General features: G+C 37.6%; 1 long non-coding RNA gene across 3 annotated transcripts in view; it reads left to right on the forward strand.

Annotated features, from left to right (window-relative positions):
* The window catches only part of LOC105376244 (uncharacterized), a 111,773-nt gene that overhangs the window by 40,144 nt on the left and 53,232 nt on the right, over positions 1-18,397 (forward strand). For 2 of the 3 annotated variants that reach the window (XR_007061905.1, XR_007061906.1), the window contains one exon: positions 3,381-3,542. The exons of the other annotated variant lie outside the window; for it this stretch is intronic. This is a non-coding gene — a long non-coding RNA (uncharacterized LOC105376244). The remainder of the gene's footprint in view (positions 1-3,380; positions 3,543-18,397) is intronic. 3 annotated transcript variants of the gene reach the window in all.

Consider the following 18,397-nt stretch of genomic DNA (forward strand, 5'->3'; position numbering starts at 1 on the left):
AGATAAAGGACTTTCTCCCTAAGAATAAGAGTTTAGCTTATCTAATTTGTCAACCTATGGTATTTCCTTGCCTCTGCCTAGCTTCAAGTTTGGTGAAGGTTGGGAAATTTTAACATAGCATTTTTAAGGAAAGATTTAAAAAAGGGAGAAAAATAGGGTAGATGAGAAAGAAAGACAGAGAGATTGCTTCTAGGATTTCAAAGAAAAATGCTCACAGCCCTCTAAGGATGAAGTTAGTAACAAATAACCCCTTGGAAGAGTTTCAGACCTATATTATACCTTGGACTAACTTTTCTTTTTAGGACACTTGAGCCTTGTAGGTTTTGAACAAATCAGAAGAAGAGAGAAGTCTCAAAAGTTAGAATTCATGTTATTAAGGCAACTGGGAACTAGTGTAAATCATTAAACCAATTAAAAATATCTTATTTCCACCTCAAATTTGTAGCTCAACCCATTACAAAAAAATAATTTGTCTTAGCATCACCAAAGATGAGATCAAGTAAAATCTCCTTAGAAGCAGAATGGTTGATCAAATGTATCACTAACTGCTTAAATGAGATAAAATGTACTTCCAATGAGCCCCAGAGCCCCAGATCTATGAAACACTGGAAGGGACATCAAGTGACAATCTCATTGAGTCCCTGTCTCCATTGTGACCACATAAAAGGTGAACTAGAAGCCAGTTGCTTTACATTCCGTGGCCAGCCTTGTTTTCACACCCCTTATTCCAAAAAAGCCTAGGACAGAAGGCATGAGGCATAGTGGTTGCAGTTCTTCCAAATGGTTAGGAGCTTGGCCCAAGCAACCCCTATATGGAACTGCTTACCTGGTGATAAATATTGTCACTACTGCTCATGGCACTTACTGTCTGTTGCTTATGAAGGACAGTGATTTATGGCTGTGTTACACGTGTGGATTGGGCAGAGGAAAAAGAATGCCTAATGCAAGGCTTAAAGACTAGGCTGTGTTTTGACTGTGGTCAATAACAGCTATTTCATTACTCTATAACCACCATCAGATTTTCCTCTGACTCACTTCTGTCTTTGCCCACTGCCTTCCTCTGCCTCTCTCTCTCTCTCTCTGTCGCTCCATTTTTCTCTGATCATCTCTCAAAGGTTCAACATAATCAGCCTAGGTAGACTTGTGTCAAAGGGAAGATAAAGAAAGAAGAAGTGAAGAGACTTTATCTAAGTATCTTTAATGTATGAGGTACTGGGATAAATACTTTCATGCTGTTTTTTCCATTTAAGATGCACAATCATGCTGAGAAGGGTAATTTACCCCCATTTACAAATGAGGAAACTTGCTTACAGTTCACAGAGTTGGTAGGTAATAAAGTTGGAATTCAAAATCAGATCCATCTGACTCCAAAATGGCCTCTTTCCATGCATCCTCTTTTACATCACTCTTCTCCATCTGTCCGGTAGATCTTCCTGCTTCTTGTCCTGGGTATACACAACAGCACATTCATTTAATAAACATTGAGTTTCTATTATATGTTATAATTGAAGAAGCAAAAATATGTAATACAGCTTGTTCACCCTCAAGCAGCTCCCAGCCAGTATATGCACGTGTGCTTGGGGCTTAGGGCTGATAATGAATGCACATTAGTAAGTGCATCTTAATACAGGACGTTTATGTATTTATGCATTCATTATTTGAACAAATGCTTATTAAGTACCCATTCTGTGCCAGGCATTATTTTGTTCCAGTGTTCATCAATCCTGGCTGCATATTAAAATAACCTAGTGTACTTTTTAAGAAATACTGATCTTTGGCCCATCCAAGTAATTCTATTTAATTGGCATGGAGCAGGCCTCTGGCATCAGTATGTTTTAAAAGCCTCCTAGGCAATGGTAATATGCAGCCAGAGTTGAAAAACACTCTTCTAGGTTCTAGAAGTGAAGCAGTGAGCAAACAGGAGAAAAAGTACTCAAGATATTCACAGGATATATGTCCCCCTTATTCAGATAGAGGATGTGATAGATAAAGGAAGAGAGAGGAAGATAAAGCTGGAAGGCTGGATTGTGCGTAAGTCTTCTTAAGCCTTAAGTTCAATGCAATTTGGATGATTTGAAGCAGGGGAATTACATAAAGACTGAGATAGCTTCACACTCTACATTTCTGTGATCTGGACTAAGCAGAAGAATCTCTCATCCTAAGAATTTTTAGTTTTAACAGATTGACTGATGTAGGGCTTTACTCAGTGCTGCACTAGAAGCTATGAGTATAGAAATAGATAAGAAAAGTTCCTGCCTTCAAGGACCTTCCAGTCTAGTGTGTCTGCTAAGAGTAGGGAAAGAGGGCTTGCAGAGGAACATTGCTACTGCAACAAGAAGTACTGAGTTGCAGGAGACATTGAGAGCTTTCAGAATGTTTTCCCTCCCTGATGAGGAGCACATCATGGACACTTCTAGGTACCACCTTTGCAGAGTATCTATAGGTGACTGGTGATTGAACAGGAAGAGAAGTGAAGGGAGGACCATATAGCAGAGGGAACAGCATTTGCAAGATGTGAAAGAGAAGAAACTTGGTTTAATCCAGATTCTTCAAGCAGTTCAATCGGTGAAATGGAGAGGGTCACAGTTAGAGAGGAGAACAGGAAATAACAAGCACTGTAGGTCTATCACAGAGTACCTTTTTTTAAAGCAACGTTTTGCAGGAATAGAGAAGAAATTGACATGGTTAGATTTGCACTAAAGACTTTCCTCTGGTTGCCTGTGGATAAGGATAGTCAAGGCTGGAAGCAAGGAGGCTAAATGGCATTAGTGACAGAGGTGATGGGAAAATGAAAATCCTCATCAAATGGAGCATGAGAGTAGTGGGGTTGGCTTAGAGAGGTCAGTGCTGTCTAGGGTCTGTTCTCTCAGGTTTATGGCTCCAGAAACTCTACTTTAACTCTGCACCAGAGGGTAATGGGATTCTGGAGGAAAAATGGTGTAGGGAATGTGTACACCTGTGAAGGACAAGGGAGTAGAAGATATGGGCTTTCCCCCTGCCTTCACTATTTTCTAATTGTGCCCGTGAGAGCATGTCACATTATCTTGATGACCCTTTGTGTCCTCATCTGTAAAGGAAGGGAGAGGAAGATATGATAGCTACATTCATTTCCTTAGGGTTCTGGGAAGGATTAAATGATCTGCACTGCATGGAAGCAATTCTTAGACTAAAAAGCTTTGCAATTGGGCTTCATTTTCTAAATCCCCTGAACCAGTATCAGACTGTAAGGGGTAACTATGTGGGCCACGTAGGGGGTCAGGGCTGTCAGACTCCACTTCCAGGAGAGAGTTAAACACTCCTTGTATGGACTTTTATTGTACTATCAAATCCAATCTCAAAATATCTTCATAGGCGACACGGACATGTTTGTCTCTCCCTAGTTTTGCAGCCACATCAGTTTCTGATTAGACTTACAATTTAAGTGGGGAAGTGACTTTGGAAGAGACATGCGTGCTGTCAGCAGATGGGAGAGAGGATGGAGAAAGATGGAGGGAGGCTGCTGTAACACCTGTTCTGGTTGGGATTCTGAATGAATATGAAAGGTAAGCAGAAACCCAATTAGTAACCCCTGAACTCGCTCCATGTTATCTCTGCAAACACACACTCTCTTCCGTCCTGTGCTTCCAAAGGATAGCAGGCTTCCTGACAAGCTATTGCAAAGAAGGATGCAGACCCAGAGGAAAGAGAGAATGAAGCAACTCTCAGTTTTTTTATGCCTCGTCCAGCATCTCTAACTCAAAATTTTTTGTGAGGATTCAGCATTTTCTACTTCTGAAAGCATAAAAGAAGATAATTATTTCTGCTATGTTCATAGTCTCTTTTCGCTAAGTACCTACTATGTGCCACACAGGCATGCCTTTTAAAGCTTTATTATGTGCTGGTATTTATTATTCTCATTTTGCAGAAAAGGAAACTGAAGTTCAGAAGGGTGCAATAGCTACCCAGCTATGGAATAAAGGATCAAGGATTTCTTGTGTCTTAAGGCATTCAGTTCTCAAACTAATATGAGAGAGAGGTAGTATTGTTATTCTTTCCATTGTTGGTTACCATTTTGCCTAGCACCCCTATTTCCCACTCTGCAGTGCCTCTCCCTGTGAGAGGAATATGCTTCTTGATCACTGAAGGCTGACTAGGTGATGCAGAAGGTGAGTGGCAGTGACAGATGTCACTGTTGAGCAGAAGCTTCAAGATTTTGAATGGGCTTTGTTATATCTCATTTTTCTTTCTATTAGACTAACAAGGTCTGAGATTGAGTCTGCCCAGTCAGCCTAGTTTTGCCAAAGCAAAGACAATACAGAGGAGAATCACAGCCATACATAGACATATGCACGTGAATTCTGAAATTTAAGGTCTGTATGTTATACAGTGTAGCCAAGCCTGAACTGACTAATGTGCCCATTTGAGAAGATTGAAGTTAAGGAAAGGTAAATAGGTGCCCAGCTATACAGTGGTGAAACTAAAACTTGAAGTCAACGCTGTTCTACTCCAAATTGTGTGATCGTTACCATTGTATTACTCTTTCTCGCCAGTTCTCATTCTGAGATTTTTCTGTATTTTATAGTGACAGCTTTAAAATCACACACACACACACACACACACACACACACACACACACAAATCCGAACAACTAGTTTAAATAGGTATAAGAGTAGGTAGGTCCTCGTTAAGAAGAAAATTCAGTTAGGGCAGTGATTTGTAATTTCGATGAACATACAATCTATCTAGGGATTATGTTAAAATGCAAATACTTTTATAGTAGGTCTGGGGTAGCACCTAAGATTCTGCATTTCATAAAAGATTACAGAAGAAGCTCATACTGCTGGTCCTTGGACCACTCTTTGAGTGGCAGGGACCTACAAGATGCCAGTCACTTTGCTATGGTGATGATAGATAAAATAATGCAGCCTTGCATAGTGGTTAGGAATGCTAGGACAGGACTGGGACTAAGGTCAGGCAAGCAAGGTAATAAGGGGGCAAAGTTTAAGAGGGAAAGTAGAGCAAGGGCTGAACCTGTATCCTGAGAGTGTCACCTAATTCAGTCCTCTGTGGTGTGTTTCTAGGCTGCTTCTAACAATTGAATTTGAAAACCGAATTAATATAAAGCCAAAGAAAATGCTACAACTTTGCCTTCACATTGCTTCTAATGGCATTGGCCACCATCAGGCCAAGGGGGATGTTCACAACATCAGTCAAATTGTAGACTCTGCTAATAAAAAAACATAAAATAGCTCAAAATTATGTCATGCTTTAGTTAGCTTCATTTTTTTTAGTTAGCTTCATATTTTAAATATATTATTGTTTTTGGTTTATGTGTTTATTTCCAGAATTTCTAATTATCTTTTTTTCCCTGTGCTCTGTCCTTTTATGATATCTTTAAGTCTTTCCACGCTAACAATTATACTAGAGTTTCTGTCAAATCACTCCCACTATCAATATCCCTCAGAAAATGTCCTCCTGTAATTTTCAGTGCTATTTTTCCAAACTGGACTAAATATTGCTATAATAAGATGTTTGATGAAATTTTTATTTGTGTTGTCTAAATTGTATCTAAGTCTCAAAGCTAAAGATAAAATATCCCATCACTTATATTCTAAATAGAAACCTAAGAATAGCCAACTTTGGGGCCACGTTCCTTCATGTCTGACCTCTAGATCTTGCAAGGAACCAGCAAGCAACCCTCCTATTAGGAACACTAGCATCCCTCTTCCTCATTCCTCAATCTGCATAAGAAGACTAGAGTAGGTAAAGGGGATGGCAGACATAGAGTAACCTGAGTTTTTGCTGCCATTGTGAAAAATGTAATTTCCTAGATAAGTTGTTTTCTCTTCTTTCATGAGACAAGGAAAAGGAAATTCTCAACATCTTCCAAACCAAGTAATAGGAATGCCAAGAAAATAACATAAACATTTGAAATGCTTGCAAGAAGAGACAGACACCTTCCTTCCCTGATAGATAAAAATCCACAGAACCTGCAGTAATACCTGGTCATAGGAGGTTATGAGAGAGATTCATATCTGTAACCTATTGGGCAGGTAATTCTTACATTAGTGAATACCTCTTTCATACATACACATCTGTCTCATCAGTGAACAGTCTCATCTGATCCTGAAAAGTGTTTGACTTCTCTCATCCATGATGCTTTCTTTTGTTTTATTCTCTCCCATGCTCTCTCCTTTCTTCCTTCTTTTACCCTCCCTCCCTCTCCTTCCCTTACTTTATTATTTTTTGTGTTAAACCTTCCTGCCCATAAACATTCTTTTTTTTTCTTTAAAAAATTATACTTTAAGTTCTAGGATACAGGTGCAGAACGTGCAGCTTTGTTACCTAGGTATACATGTGCCATGGTGGTTTGCTACACCCATCAACCCATCATCTACATTAGGTATTTCTTCTCATTCGATCTCTCCCCTAGCCCCCCACCCTCTGACAGACCCCGGTGTGTGATATTCCCCTCCCTGTGTCCATGTGTTCTCATTGTTCAATCCCCACATATGAGTGAGAACATGCGGCATTTGGTTTTCTGTTCTTGTGTTAGTTTGCTGAGAATGATGGTTTCCAGCTTCATCCATGTGCCTGCAAAGGACATGAACTCATCCTTTTTTATGGCTGCATAGTATTCGATGGTGTATATGTGCCACATTTTTTTTAATCCAGTCTATCCTTGATGAGCATGTGGGTTGGTTCCAAGTCTTTGACATTTATCATCATCTCAGGAGAAAGGAGGAGATTGGTGCATGTTCTCTGTCCCTCATTCTGAATGGCACATTTCCCCCTTAGTATTTGGTGGTGCTTCTGTCATCTGATGTTTACTAATATTACACAGTGTTTATGTGTCATTTACAAAAGAGGCAGTGTAATCATAAGAAAGAGCATAGGATTAGAAATTTTATAGACTTTGTTTAAATTCTGGCTCTGTCACTTGTTGGCTATATGATTTTGGGCAAATGTAACTATTTTCTTATCCTTGACTTGTGAAGAATGACAGCAAGAATAACAATGGCAACAATAATGAAAAAGTCAATGACAATGATACCAGCATATCATTTGTTTCTCTCATCAATAGATATATTAAGTAATTAAAACACCTGGTTCAGCCACTGATTAATTAAATACATTTACATTAAGTACCCACTATGTGCCTGATGCTGTTTTGGGCACTGGAAATTCATAGTGAGTAAGAGAACTATTACCTTTTTTCCTCATAGAGCTTATGGTCATCTATTGCAGGGGTTGAGCACACACTGGGGGCCCAAATCCTGCCTTTAGTCTAGTTTAACATTGTCTTTGAGAGAAGATTGGTTTTATATTTGTAAAGTGTTGTGAGAAAAGGAAAAGATAAATGCAACAAAAAAAACTCATCATAGCCCACAAAGCCTAAAATATTTACTGTCTGGCCTTTGGTGGAAAAGTCTGCCTATTGCTGGTCTAATGGTACACACAGGAAACGTTCACTAAATGCTTTTCTCATGCCAATTCTTAACCTGAAGTTCTTTGCATTGGTGTTTTGATTAATTTCTGCATCCCTTCAATTCCCCCATAGGCTTCTCATTGCCCCTGCATTAAAAGTCAAAATAGACGCGGCATGAGCGACTCCTATGCCTTTCCAATCTCCTCTAATTATATTTTTATCCTCCTGCATCACTGGACTTTTTTTCTTTTCAACAAATATTGCACATGTGCCTCAGCCCAATGTATTATAACTCTTGAGCTCCCCTTTCCCCAACTTTTCAGCCAGTTTACTTCCAACTTACCCTTCAGAATTCAGCTCTAACATCACTTCCTTTGCCAAAATGTCCTTGACCTCTCCTTACCAGATGTGTTCCAACCCCCAAACCTTTTAACTGCTCTCACAACTCCTGATAATTATGGTAATTTTATATTCTTTTCTGTGATCCCTTTCTAATTATCACCTCCACACGTTAGTTCCATGAGGACAAGGGCTATATCTCTTTTGTTTATTTATTTATCTCTAGCACCTAGCATCCTTGCTTGATGCTCAATAAATATTAGGCAACTAAATGAAACAAAGAATGAACGATTCACTCTCATGTTTGTTGAAAAAAAAATAGGTCAGATAGCTTATAGTATTCTTTCATCATAAGGTATCTAGTTCTCCCAGGGAAATATACCCCTAAACGGAATTTCTGTGACTGCATCTTCTCAGTTCCTTCATTCTATGTATATAATTAATGGGGGCCCAGTGAGATGTTTGTGCTGATACATCATCTGCACCACATAGCAAATGCATTTGTTACGGAGTTATCTGGGCCAAAGCTAATGAAACATTTGCAAATGTCCTGATTTACAAAGAGAAAATTAGTTCACCTGAATGACAAGGTTTACATGCAAGGAAAATCTTTGCATTTTTTTCACTATGTTCTGGGATGCCTCAAAATCCCAAGGAAACACACATCAGCAGTCCCCTGCGGAAGACAAAGTCCAGAGGTCACCTTGGAGGAGAACAAAAGCTCTAAGGTCAACATTCCTTCATGGCTATGGCAATCCTCTTGTGAGTCTTCAGATGCCTGAGAACTCTGAAATTCTAAACTGAATGTTTCCTTGTATATGTACATGCTCCTAAAGACCACATCAAATTTATCAGCTTCTCACTGGGGTCTGTGGCACCCCGGTAGTTGAGAATCAGTGCTTTAAGAAAATTCTGGGCTCCCTTATTCTTAAATTTATTTGTTATTTTTTTTTAAAAGAAGATAAAGATAAGGAGCAGAGATGACTGTAAGTCCTGAAGGGATCCCTCATATTTCTTGTCCCAACCTTCCCTGACCCACTGTACAGATGAGGAGATTCAGATCAGTTAAAGAGCTGACTTGCCCAGGGCTTTTCAGCAAGTGAGACACAAACCAGGACTCAGATTCTGTCAGCTCACTGTCCTTTCTACTACACCCTACTCTCCACCGATATGACAATTGTTTATTTCTGCTTTCATTCCTTTTCTCATTCACTCACCCAATTTTTTTCTTCTTCATGTATTTTCTCAGATGAGAGAATTATCATTTTTTCAAGATTAATTTTTAAAACAATTTATTATTTGTGACTAGATCATTTCTAAGAAGAATTTTGACTTCAATAAACAATTGTTCAATAAGCCTGTTAAATTAGAAAATAACATACAATAGAAGAACACATTTATCTTTTCCTTTCCAAATGCATCTCTCAAGTGATAGTAAAGAAATAAAAAATCATACAAATCTACAAGAACCAAAAAAATTGAAGAAGAAAAGGCACTCCATAAGAGACTTCAAAAAGTTTTAGGAATTGAAGATGGAAGATTCAACAAAGAGATGCAGAACCACAAAATAAGTGTCTGCAGAGGGAGATACTGATGAAAAACAAACCAATTCATCCTAAGAAGTCAATATATAACAACAGATATATGAGGATGGTAAAAATTGGGGGGCTGATTGAATGTCTGTGTATGAAGGAGTTGAACATCACTCCATCTCCTGAGTTCTCGTAAACCACAGAGAAGTTGTGCCCAGAGATCAGAGGCAGGGGGATGGAATAAATCTGAATGGCCCTAGAAAAAGGACTTTCAAATATGGTTACTGTGATCAGTTAGTGAAATTAGTGATTCCCTACTCCTTCACTTTGATAATAAAGCCCAGTGAGAAACCCCTCCAATTTGCTCAAAGCTTCAAATTAGTTTTTTTGTACCTAGAAGGTGAAAAAGCAGTAAAGGATCAACTAATAGTTTCCAGGCATCCAAAATGATTGGGAAAATTCTAAACCAATAAATATGAAAGGAAAAGCTGGAAGAAAACAGATATGACAGGGAGTGAAATAAAACTTGAACCAAAGCTTATTAATAATGTAAGCCTAGAAGTTGTACCTGAAAAAAACGAAGAGGATGGCATAAAAGATAATAAAAAAACAGGAAATAATTCTTACAAATTATGTGTGTATATATATATACATGTATATATGTACATATACATACCTTGACTGAAATTTTAAATCCAATAAAAAGTTACAAGACAAAGTTAAGAAAATATTCAGACAGTAGAAAATGGCAAAAAGATAAAAATTGTGTGGGACAGTTTTCCAAGTACTGCCTGTAAGCTCTAAATGCATCCTTTATAGCCTTCTCTAAGACAAGGGAGATGGGCCTTATGAATATTCCTTCTTTGCCAGTTGGCATGAAACTGGAGGAAAACTAGAGAATGAAGGGTCTTTTCTTCCTGGCTCTAGTTTGCCCTTCTCCCTGGGTTCCTGTAGCACACACAGCTTCTACAGCACCCAACCCCTGTAGAGTGTGGTAGCCCAGTGGTCAGCAGTACATGGGACCTGCCTCACTTCCCCAGAACTCTCTTGTTTGGTTTCATGTTGCGTTCTTGGGTATGGCACCTCTCTGTGGAAGGCTACGACATGGCAGTGCAGAGTACAGACTGTGGTAAATCCTGCCGGTGAAGCACCTCAGTGAACTTCTCTGAGGTGAATGGTAATTCAGTTATCCATGGTCACACCCTCTCCAGTGGAATCTAGATCCACCTTAGAAGTAGGGGAGGGATTTTCCCTTGGTGTTCGATTATAACCTTAGGGATTGTGGCCCTTACCTATGCCTGCTACTCTTATATTCTCTAGTGTTATCTTTACCTTTTACTAGCTAATTCCTCATTACTACAATATCACATTTTAATTAATAATTTTCATATTAAATGTTCCCTGTCAAAATTACTGTGTGATTCCTGTCTCTTGGCAGGACCTAATTGTTGTGGTGGGAGATAAAAGATAAGAATATTAAAGAGCTAATTTAGAAAGAATGATTTTAGGTAATAGGTATTACAGGTATTTCTAAAATACAAATAAATAAAATTCCTTGAACTGAAGGAGAAAAGAGTTTCCAGATTGAAATTTTCCAGTAAGTGGCCAGATTACAGAAAGAAAGAGAAAAGAAAAGATACTGAAAAGGCCACAGCATCATACATTTTCATGACTTGAAATGAAAGGGTAAATAGAAACGTCTAAACACTTCCAGTTTGGATGGGGAAGACCATCTTTAAAAAGAAAAAATAATCAGGATATATCAATCCTCTCAAAGACAGTGCAGAATTGTTAGAAGACAAAGTGATGTTTTTAAAAATTTGAGAGACAATATTTCCAACCAGCTGAATCATAAACATATAGTAAACATGAAAGAATAACTTCAGGTAAGTAAAGGCTTGTAAGTACTACTTCCCATATATTTGCTTAGTAAGCTATTAGGAGATACACTCCTATAAGGTTGAAGGACTAAATATGAAAGTGGGAGTAATAAGATCCGTGAAACACATCTTCCATTTTAGAAAAATCTCATAACGAAGTTTTACAGTTATAATGGAAGGAAGTTCTAGATGGATCATTTTATATAAGGCTCAGGGAACAAACTTCCAAATGGAGCAAAAGAACAAGGTAAGAGGTCTGGCACGTGGAGTTAAAAAAATAACAACAAAAAAAACTATAGATGATGTGAAATGATCATTTAGTGCTTAGTGTATGTGATGGTGTGTTAAAAAATGATACGGCTGGGTCCAGTGGCTCACGTCCGTAATACCAGCACGTTGGGAGGCTGAGGTGGGCGGATCACTTAGAGGTCAAGAGTTCAAGACCAGCCTGGCCAACATGGTGAAACCACATCTCTCCTAAAAGTACAAAAAATTAGCTGGACATGGTGGTGGGCACCTCTAATCCCAGCTACTCGGGAGGCTGAGGCAGCAGAATCTCTTGAACCCGGGAGATGGAGGTTGCAGTGAGCCGAGATCGTACCATCGCACTCCAGCCTAGGTGACAGAGAAAGACTCCATCTCAAAAAAAAAAAAAAAATGATGTTAGCCTATAAAATATTGTGAAAGTAAAGATAGGCAATTACTGACTCCACTAAAATACATGAAAATATTAGAGGAAGAAAAAGCAAATTTCATGTTCTTTTATGTAAATATGACAATATGAACATATATATTTTATTTTAAATGAAACCATATTATAATTATGCTTACTTTATGGAAAGATGTTAAATGTGGAGAAAAACATGCCTAAAGTTGATAAGTCAAACAATATTACCAGACACATAAACTTTTAGAAGTATGCTGCTAAATACTAGAAAATAATGCCAGCATTGATTTTGAGAAATGAGATTCCTTTTGAGTAGCAGGAATCAAGAATGTGGTATGGCAAAACTCTTTTTAATTATAAACCATTCTGAGCACTTTTTCAAGCCATGGGTATGTATATATTTTGATTAAGTTATAATAAAAATTTAAAAAAAATTCCATCAGGGAGATAAATGAGATAATGAATGGAAGAAATCAGCAAAGTTCTTAGCAGACAGTCATCATTCAATGAGTGCTGGTTGTGATACAGTAATTGTTGAGTAAATTAGTTTGGAGAAAAAACCTACTATTTAGCATTAAATGTGTATTTTATCTTCAAGTTAAAGTGGTATAGAAAAGGTAAAGCTTGGCTTGACACAGTAAGCATACCCATTCCTGATATAATTTTTTTCTGATACGCAACATTAGATAGACGTTATCACTTGGGTGTTTCACAAGGGTCAATGAACAGCACTTTAAATTATGTCTCCTAGACAAGGCTTTGACTGGAAAAAACAATCAATCTTCCAGGAGTGTTTTTTTCTTATACTCTTGCCTTACATTAACAAACCAACCAACAAGGAACTCCCATCCCCACATCCACATAACAGTAGCAACATCAATAATGCAGATATCGGTATTAAAATCTTAATAGATGTATGCATATTTTTAAAACTGTAAAAGACAGAATCAATTTATATGGATGCTCTCTAAATTAGTAAGATTCTGACAGTCTAATTAATAAAAATTCAAAGATAGAATATTTGGAAGAAGAAATCAGTAACAAGCTTTTTAACTAGCTTCTTCCCAGGACTGAGGTCAGTTGAAAGCCTTTGACATCATTTGCAATCAAGTAATTGGCCTCTTGTCAACAACGATCAGTGATGGGCTGACCAGGTACTTCAAGCATATCCAGTAAGTCAGAAGCTGGGTTGTGCAAAACAACTGACTACAAGCTTTTCAAAGACATTGCTAAAACTGGGTTGTCCAAAACAAGTGACCACAAGCTTTTAAAAGACATTGCTAAAACCAATCACATGGTTACATTTCAAACATACACTTTATCTGAAGTCAAACTGATGTAATGTGATCACATTGCATCAACCTGTTTCAATTTAAGGCTGACAGTTCACGTTTTGGAAACAAAATAAATGCATCATTATCAAGTGGCATTTGCAATGGACCTTATCCAGGGAATTCTGATCAACACCTCTAAAGCATGTTTCTTAATTAAATTCTCTGAGTCAGAATGATAAATATAGTATGTGCACAAATAATACACACTATACATATATGTAAACGTTATATATGTATTTTACATGTGTGTTTTGTTATATATTATATATGTAATTTATACATACACATGTGTTTATATGTATCTCATGTACATACATGCCATCTCTGGCTCTCTCATACAAGTGTACATATCTTATAAATATCTCATATATATGAGAAAAACAGAGAGGGAGCAACATTAATCCCACATATTGTTAGCAATGTAGAAGTATTAACTGAACTCCAACCAATATTTCTGGATATGAAATAGTAGGATATTGTGATAGGCTTCATATTAATGCCAGGAAAGAACACTAAAATGTGTGGTCTGGTAATCAGACCTCAAGATGAATGAGATTAGAATCCTGCCCTAAATACCAGAAAGTTTTATTTATCTCTCAGATTCAGGTACAATTACCTTCACCAAATTCAGCTGCATCATTACTTTTCTGATTTCAGTTTTCTTACGAAAATAGTATTATAATATAATACCAACTGATCTCACAATATTGTCTTGGGATTAAAACAAGATAATGGTACAAAATACTATACACATTTGAAGTAGTAGAACAGCTATATAAAAATAGCTGTATAAGAAATTCAAATTTCAAACCAAAATGAGAGTATACTGGCTCATGTAATTGGGAAATACAAAGATAGAATGACCTCAGGGAGCTCTAGACACTTAAAAATTATCCAGAACTTGTTTATTCTTTATCACAATTACCTGCTTCACCTTATGGTTTGATTTCATTTTCTTATATCATGAAGAGGCTTTCCATGCAATGGCTAGAGTGGTGGGTCAAGCAGCACATAGCTCCTGGCTTGTTAAGTGACTTTTGTCATCTAGAGGAAAGAAAGAGCTTCTATTAGTATCTGCTTATAAATTTCCAGGGAAGGACTCTTATTGGACCACGTTGGATCACACACCAATATATGAGCCAATGATTGTAGCCAAGAGGAGGGGTTTACAATTAGCCAGTGGCCACAAGAATGCCAGGAACACCATTAAATGGTGGATCCTTAGCTCTTCAAAATAAAGGTGTGCTCTTACAAGGTGAAAAGAGAAAAAAAATACTGGAGGAAAAATATCAGATGCCCAACATCATGCCCTCTATCTCTCTCTGCTTCTAATGTTCCCCATGCATCCGTCTATCCCAGCCCTCAACACATTAGAATGGAATTGTTTCTTTATGGTTCACATTGCAGACATGTGTCTGGTTTAGCTTTGTAACCCCAGCACATATCACAGGAGCCAGCATAGATTAGTTGGTCAAGAAATACAGACGGAAGGAATTAGTTAAATAATTCTTCTGGGAAAACTTCAGAGGACTCTGCCACCCCAGTTCTTGAATGTTACATGGAGAATCAACCCCTGCATGCTTATACTCCTACATTCTCCTGAGCTCAAATATGCTCCCTGAGAACGCTTCTTTATCTAATTTATTAAATATTCACTTGACACTGATTAGGAGTAAAGCCCTATGCAAAGTTCTCCAGATGATTCAGAGTAGGGAATTCCGGATGACTTCTTGGTTTTCTAAATGGTAAATGGGAAGCTCTACCCTCAAGAAGCTTACAGCCAGATTGCCAAGTCATGGCATCTGACCTATAATGGGTAATTCTCAAAACTGTGTGACAAATCCTGAAATAATCCACTCATATGATATATGACATTGAGGCTCAGAGATAAGATAAGTGAAGACCAACTGGAAACAATAGAAAAGCTAAATAACCAGAAGAGTAAAAACAAGGTTCTGGCAGAGGCAAGCAGAAAGGAAGAATTACATCTGGGAGTCTACTCTGATCCAGGCACTATGCCCAGCATCTTATAACCACTATTTTAGGAGACCTTCCAAGCCCCAGGAGAGGGGCATTTCTGTCTCTACTTGGCAAGGAAGAAAACTGAGACTCAGAGAGGTTAAGTAAATCAGTGAGACAATGTTAAGAATACAAGGGTTATAACCATAGATTGATGTTTTCAATGCTCTTGTGCTTTCCTTCACGGTGTGATTAATTATACATACAACACATGAGTCAGTGTAAAAACTATGTAAAGATGACCAATCAGGAGATGTAATAGACAAATAATTTACAGCTACTTGGATACAGATAATTATGAAAATATTAACAGGTAATGGGAATTGATCATAAGTGATAGATTATAAAGATGAATGGGAAATGAAGACACATAAATATATAATTGAGTTAGGTTGATAGATACATTCATATATATCCATACAGGGACACCATCACCCTACCTTGTGAAAAGTCAATTTGGCCAGATATAATGTGCTCTGGTGCGGAGATAATCGCGCAATTATAAGGAAGCCGTGATCTGCTCCTACTTCTCCCACTGTCTCTGTGGTCCTGTGTCCTTGTCTTTTCTCATCCTCAGTTTCATCATCTGTAAAACGAGAATAATAAACAGAGCCCAGCCTACTATCACAGGATAGCTCTGAGAATTCTAGAAAGTAATTGTTGGGGAAGCACCTTGGAAATTATAGCATGCTCTGTTGCCTCTGTGGGTTTGACCTGGGTGGTTTTGCAACTTCTTTTGAAAAGAAAGCCAGCCCCATATTTAGGTCAGGAAACGGGTTCTTTTTGAGATGATGCCTGAGCTTGGCTGCTGCCTGCCCGCCACTTAAAGCATATTTTAACAGGTTCCACATCGCCTCTACCTTGCAGCTTAGCTCATATCATCAAAAACCACGTTGGTGCCCTCCATGTCAGTAAATGGTTGTTCCTCTGTTGTATCTTTTGCCCCATCTCCAAAGCTGAGCTTGGTAACAGACCCTTTTTTGATGCCAGATGATCTGAAGGCAGGATAAAAAGAATGTTTTCCCACTCAAGATCAATATGCCTTTAACCTTCCTTCCCTCTATCCTTGGGGAAACATCTCACCTCACCTCACTGGCAGCTTCTGCCCTCCCACACTCCTGTCTTTCATTCTCCCTCCCTTCGCTTCCCCACTTCCACCACTGCCCGGTTAGAATTCAGCAAGTCTTCCACTTGGAGCTCTTGTGTTAATATCCATCATAACAGGTTCTGCTGAATAGCTTTTCCATACATAGAGTCCCCTATTACTATAGACCAAAGAAACTCAGGAGTTACTCTTAGAGCCAGGGAGACAGGTTTGAATCTTGCTGTTATTACAAGCAGCATGATCTTAGAGAACTGACTTCACTTCTCTGAATCTTGGTTCTCTTTTCTGCAAATTGTGGGCAACAATACCTGCCCTGCTCATCCTCTGCAAGCACGAAATATTTACCACAGAAGGGCCCTACAGATTAAATCCTAGTTTTAAAATGTTGGTGGCACGCAGTTAATTTTATTTTTTAATTTTTAAAAGCACGTGTAACTTGTAAATGCTAAAAATTACTTTAAGGTTTCAAAATGTGATGCTAATAATTTAATCTTAAGGATAACACCACATGGTATGCATTATAAATATCCCTATATTACAGACAAAGAACCTGAAGTCAAAAATGTAAGCAACCATGCCCTAAATTACATATTTAGTAAGTGGTGGCTCCAGGATTTTAACCAAACACTTGGATTCCAGAGACTGTGAGTTTAACCGCTATGCTATGCTGCCTAAGCAAACCAGTGATCCATTCCTAGGACAGTAGATGGGTTTGATGTTTTAGATGTACACTATGGAGTACCTAAAAGCAACATACAAGGATAGGATAGGTAATACTACGGTAATAAATGAACACTAACATATTTAATTTTCACTGATGCAGAGTCTAGTGAGTGTCTAGACAAACATTCTGGGTCAACAATCACTTCATTTGATGACTCTGGAAATGAGAACTAGGTATTGGTGAATAATACTAACATATACCACTCCTACCTATTTATCAGTTAGAGATAACCTACTAAATTAATACATTATGACTGTATAATGTACTATTAAAAATATGACATTGTATGAAGAAACAATATGATATAAAAGTTAATTTCATTTAAAGTTAAAATATGTGAAATACCTATACATGTTTTGTAAAGACCTACACTAAGAAAAAATCTATACTGAACATATTAAAATGAATATATACCCATTTTATATCTATCATCTATCTTCTACCTATGTATGTATGTATCTATGTATTTATCTATCTATCTACCTATCTATCTCAGAATGGCTAGTGGGGAAGGGAATGGAAGTGGTGAATAGGTATATAGGAAATATATACATTTAAAAAAAATCAAATGAGGAAACTTGAAGAGAGAGCTTTCATGGATCAATGGGACAGTAAGCCATGAACTGAGAATTATGATTAATTCAATCTTCTAAAGCAGAAGTTGGCAAAATGTATCCTGCCTGCCAAATCTGGCCTGCTGTTTTTATATATAAAGTTTTTGTTTAAAGTTTCTTGCAGTTTTTATTCTAATACATTTTTTTCCCTTTGGATAAAATTTAATTGTCATTGGAAAATATCAAGCCAGCATTTCTTAACAAATAAGTATGGATTTTATAATTAAACTCAATAAAACTTGATGAAATATAAACAGTGGAGAGCTAAAATCTAACTAAAATTATTATAAGAAACAATGCCGAATTTATTTTGGGTAGAGTACAACACATTTTGTTTTGTTTTTAATAATTTCTACTTTTATTTTAGATATAGGAGGTACACATGCAGGTTTGTTACATGGATTTATTACATGATGCTGAGGTTTGGAGTATCAGTGAGCCTGTCACCCAGGTAGTAAGCATAGTACCCAATAGGTAGTTTTTTAGCCACTGCCCTCCTCCCACTCTTTCTTCTATGATAGTCACCAGTGCCTATTATTCCCATCTGTATGCCCATGTGTACCCAATGTTTAGCTCCCACTTGCACAAGAGAACATATGGTATTTGATTTTCTGTTCCTCTGTTAATTCATTTAGGATAATGGCCTCCAGCTCTGTCTATGTGCTGCAAAAACCATGATTTTATTCTATTTTATTTTATGGTTGCAGAGTATTCCATGGTATCTATGCACCGCATTTTATTTATTCAATCCACTGTTGATGGGAACCCAGGTTGA

This window comes from Homo sapiens, chromosome 9, assembly GCF_000001405.40.
Source record: "Homo sapiens chromosome 9, GRCh38.p14 Primary Assembly".
Taxonomy (NCBI): Eukaryota; Metazoa; Chordata; class Mammalia; order Primates; family Hominidae; genus Homo; species Homo sapiens.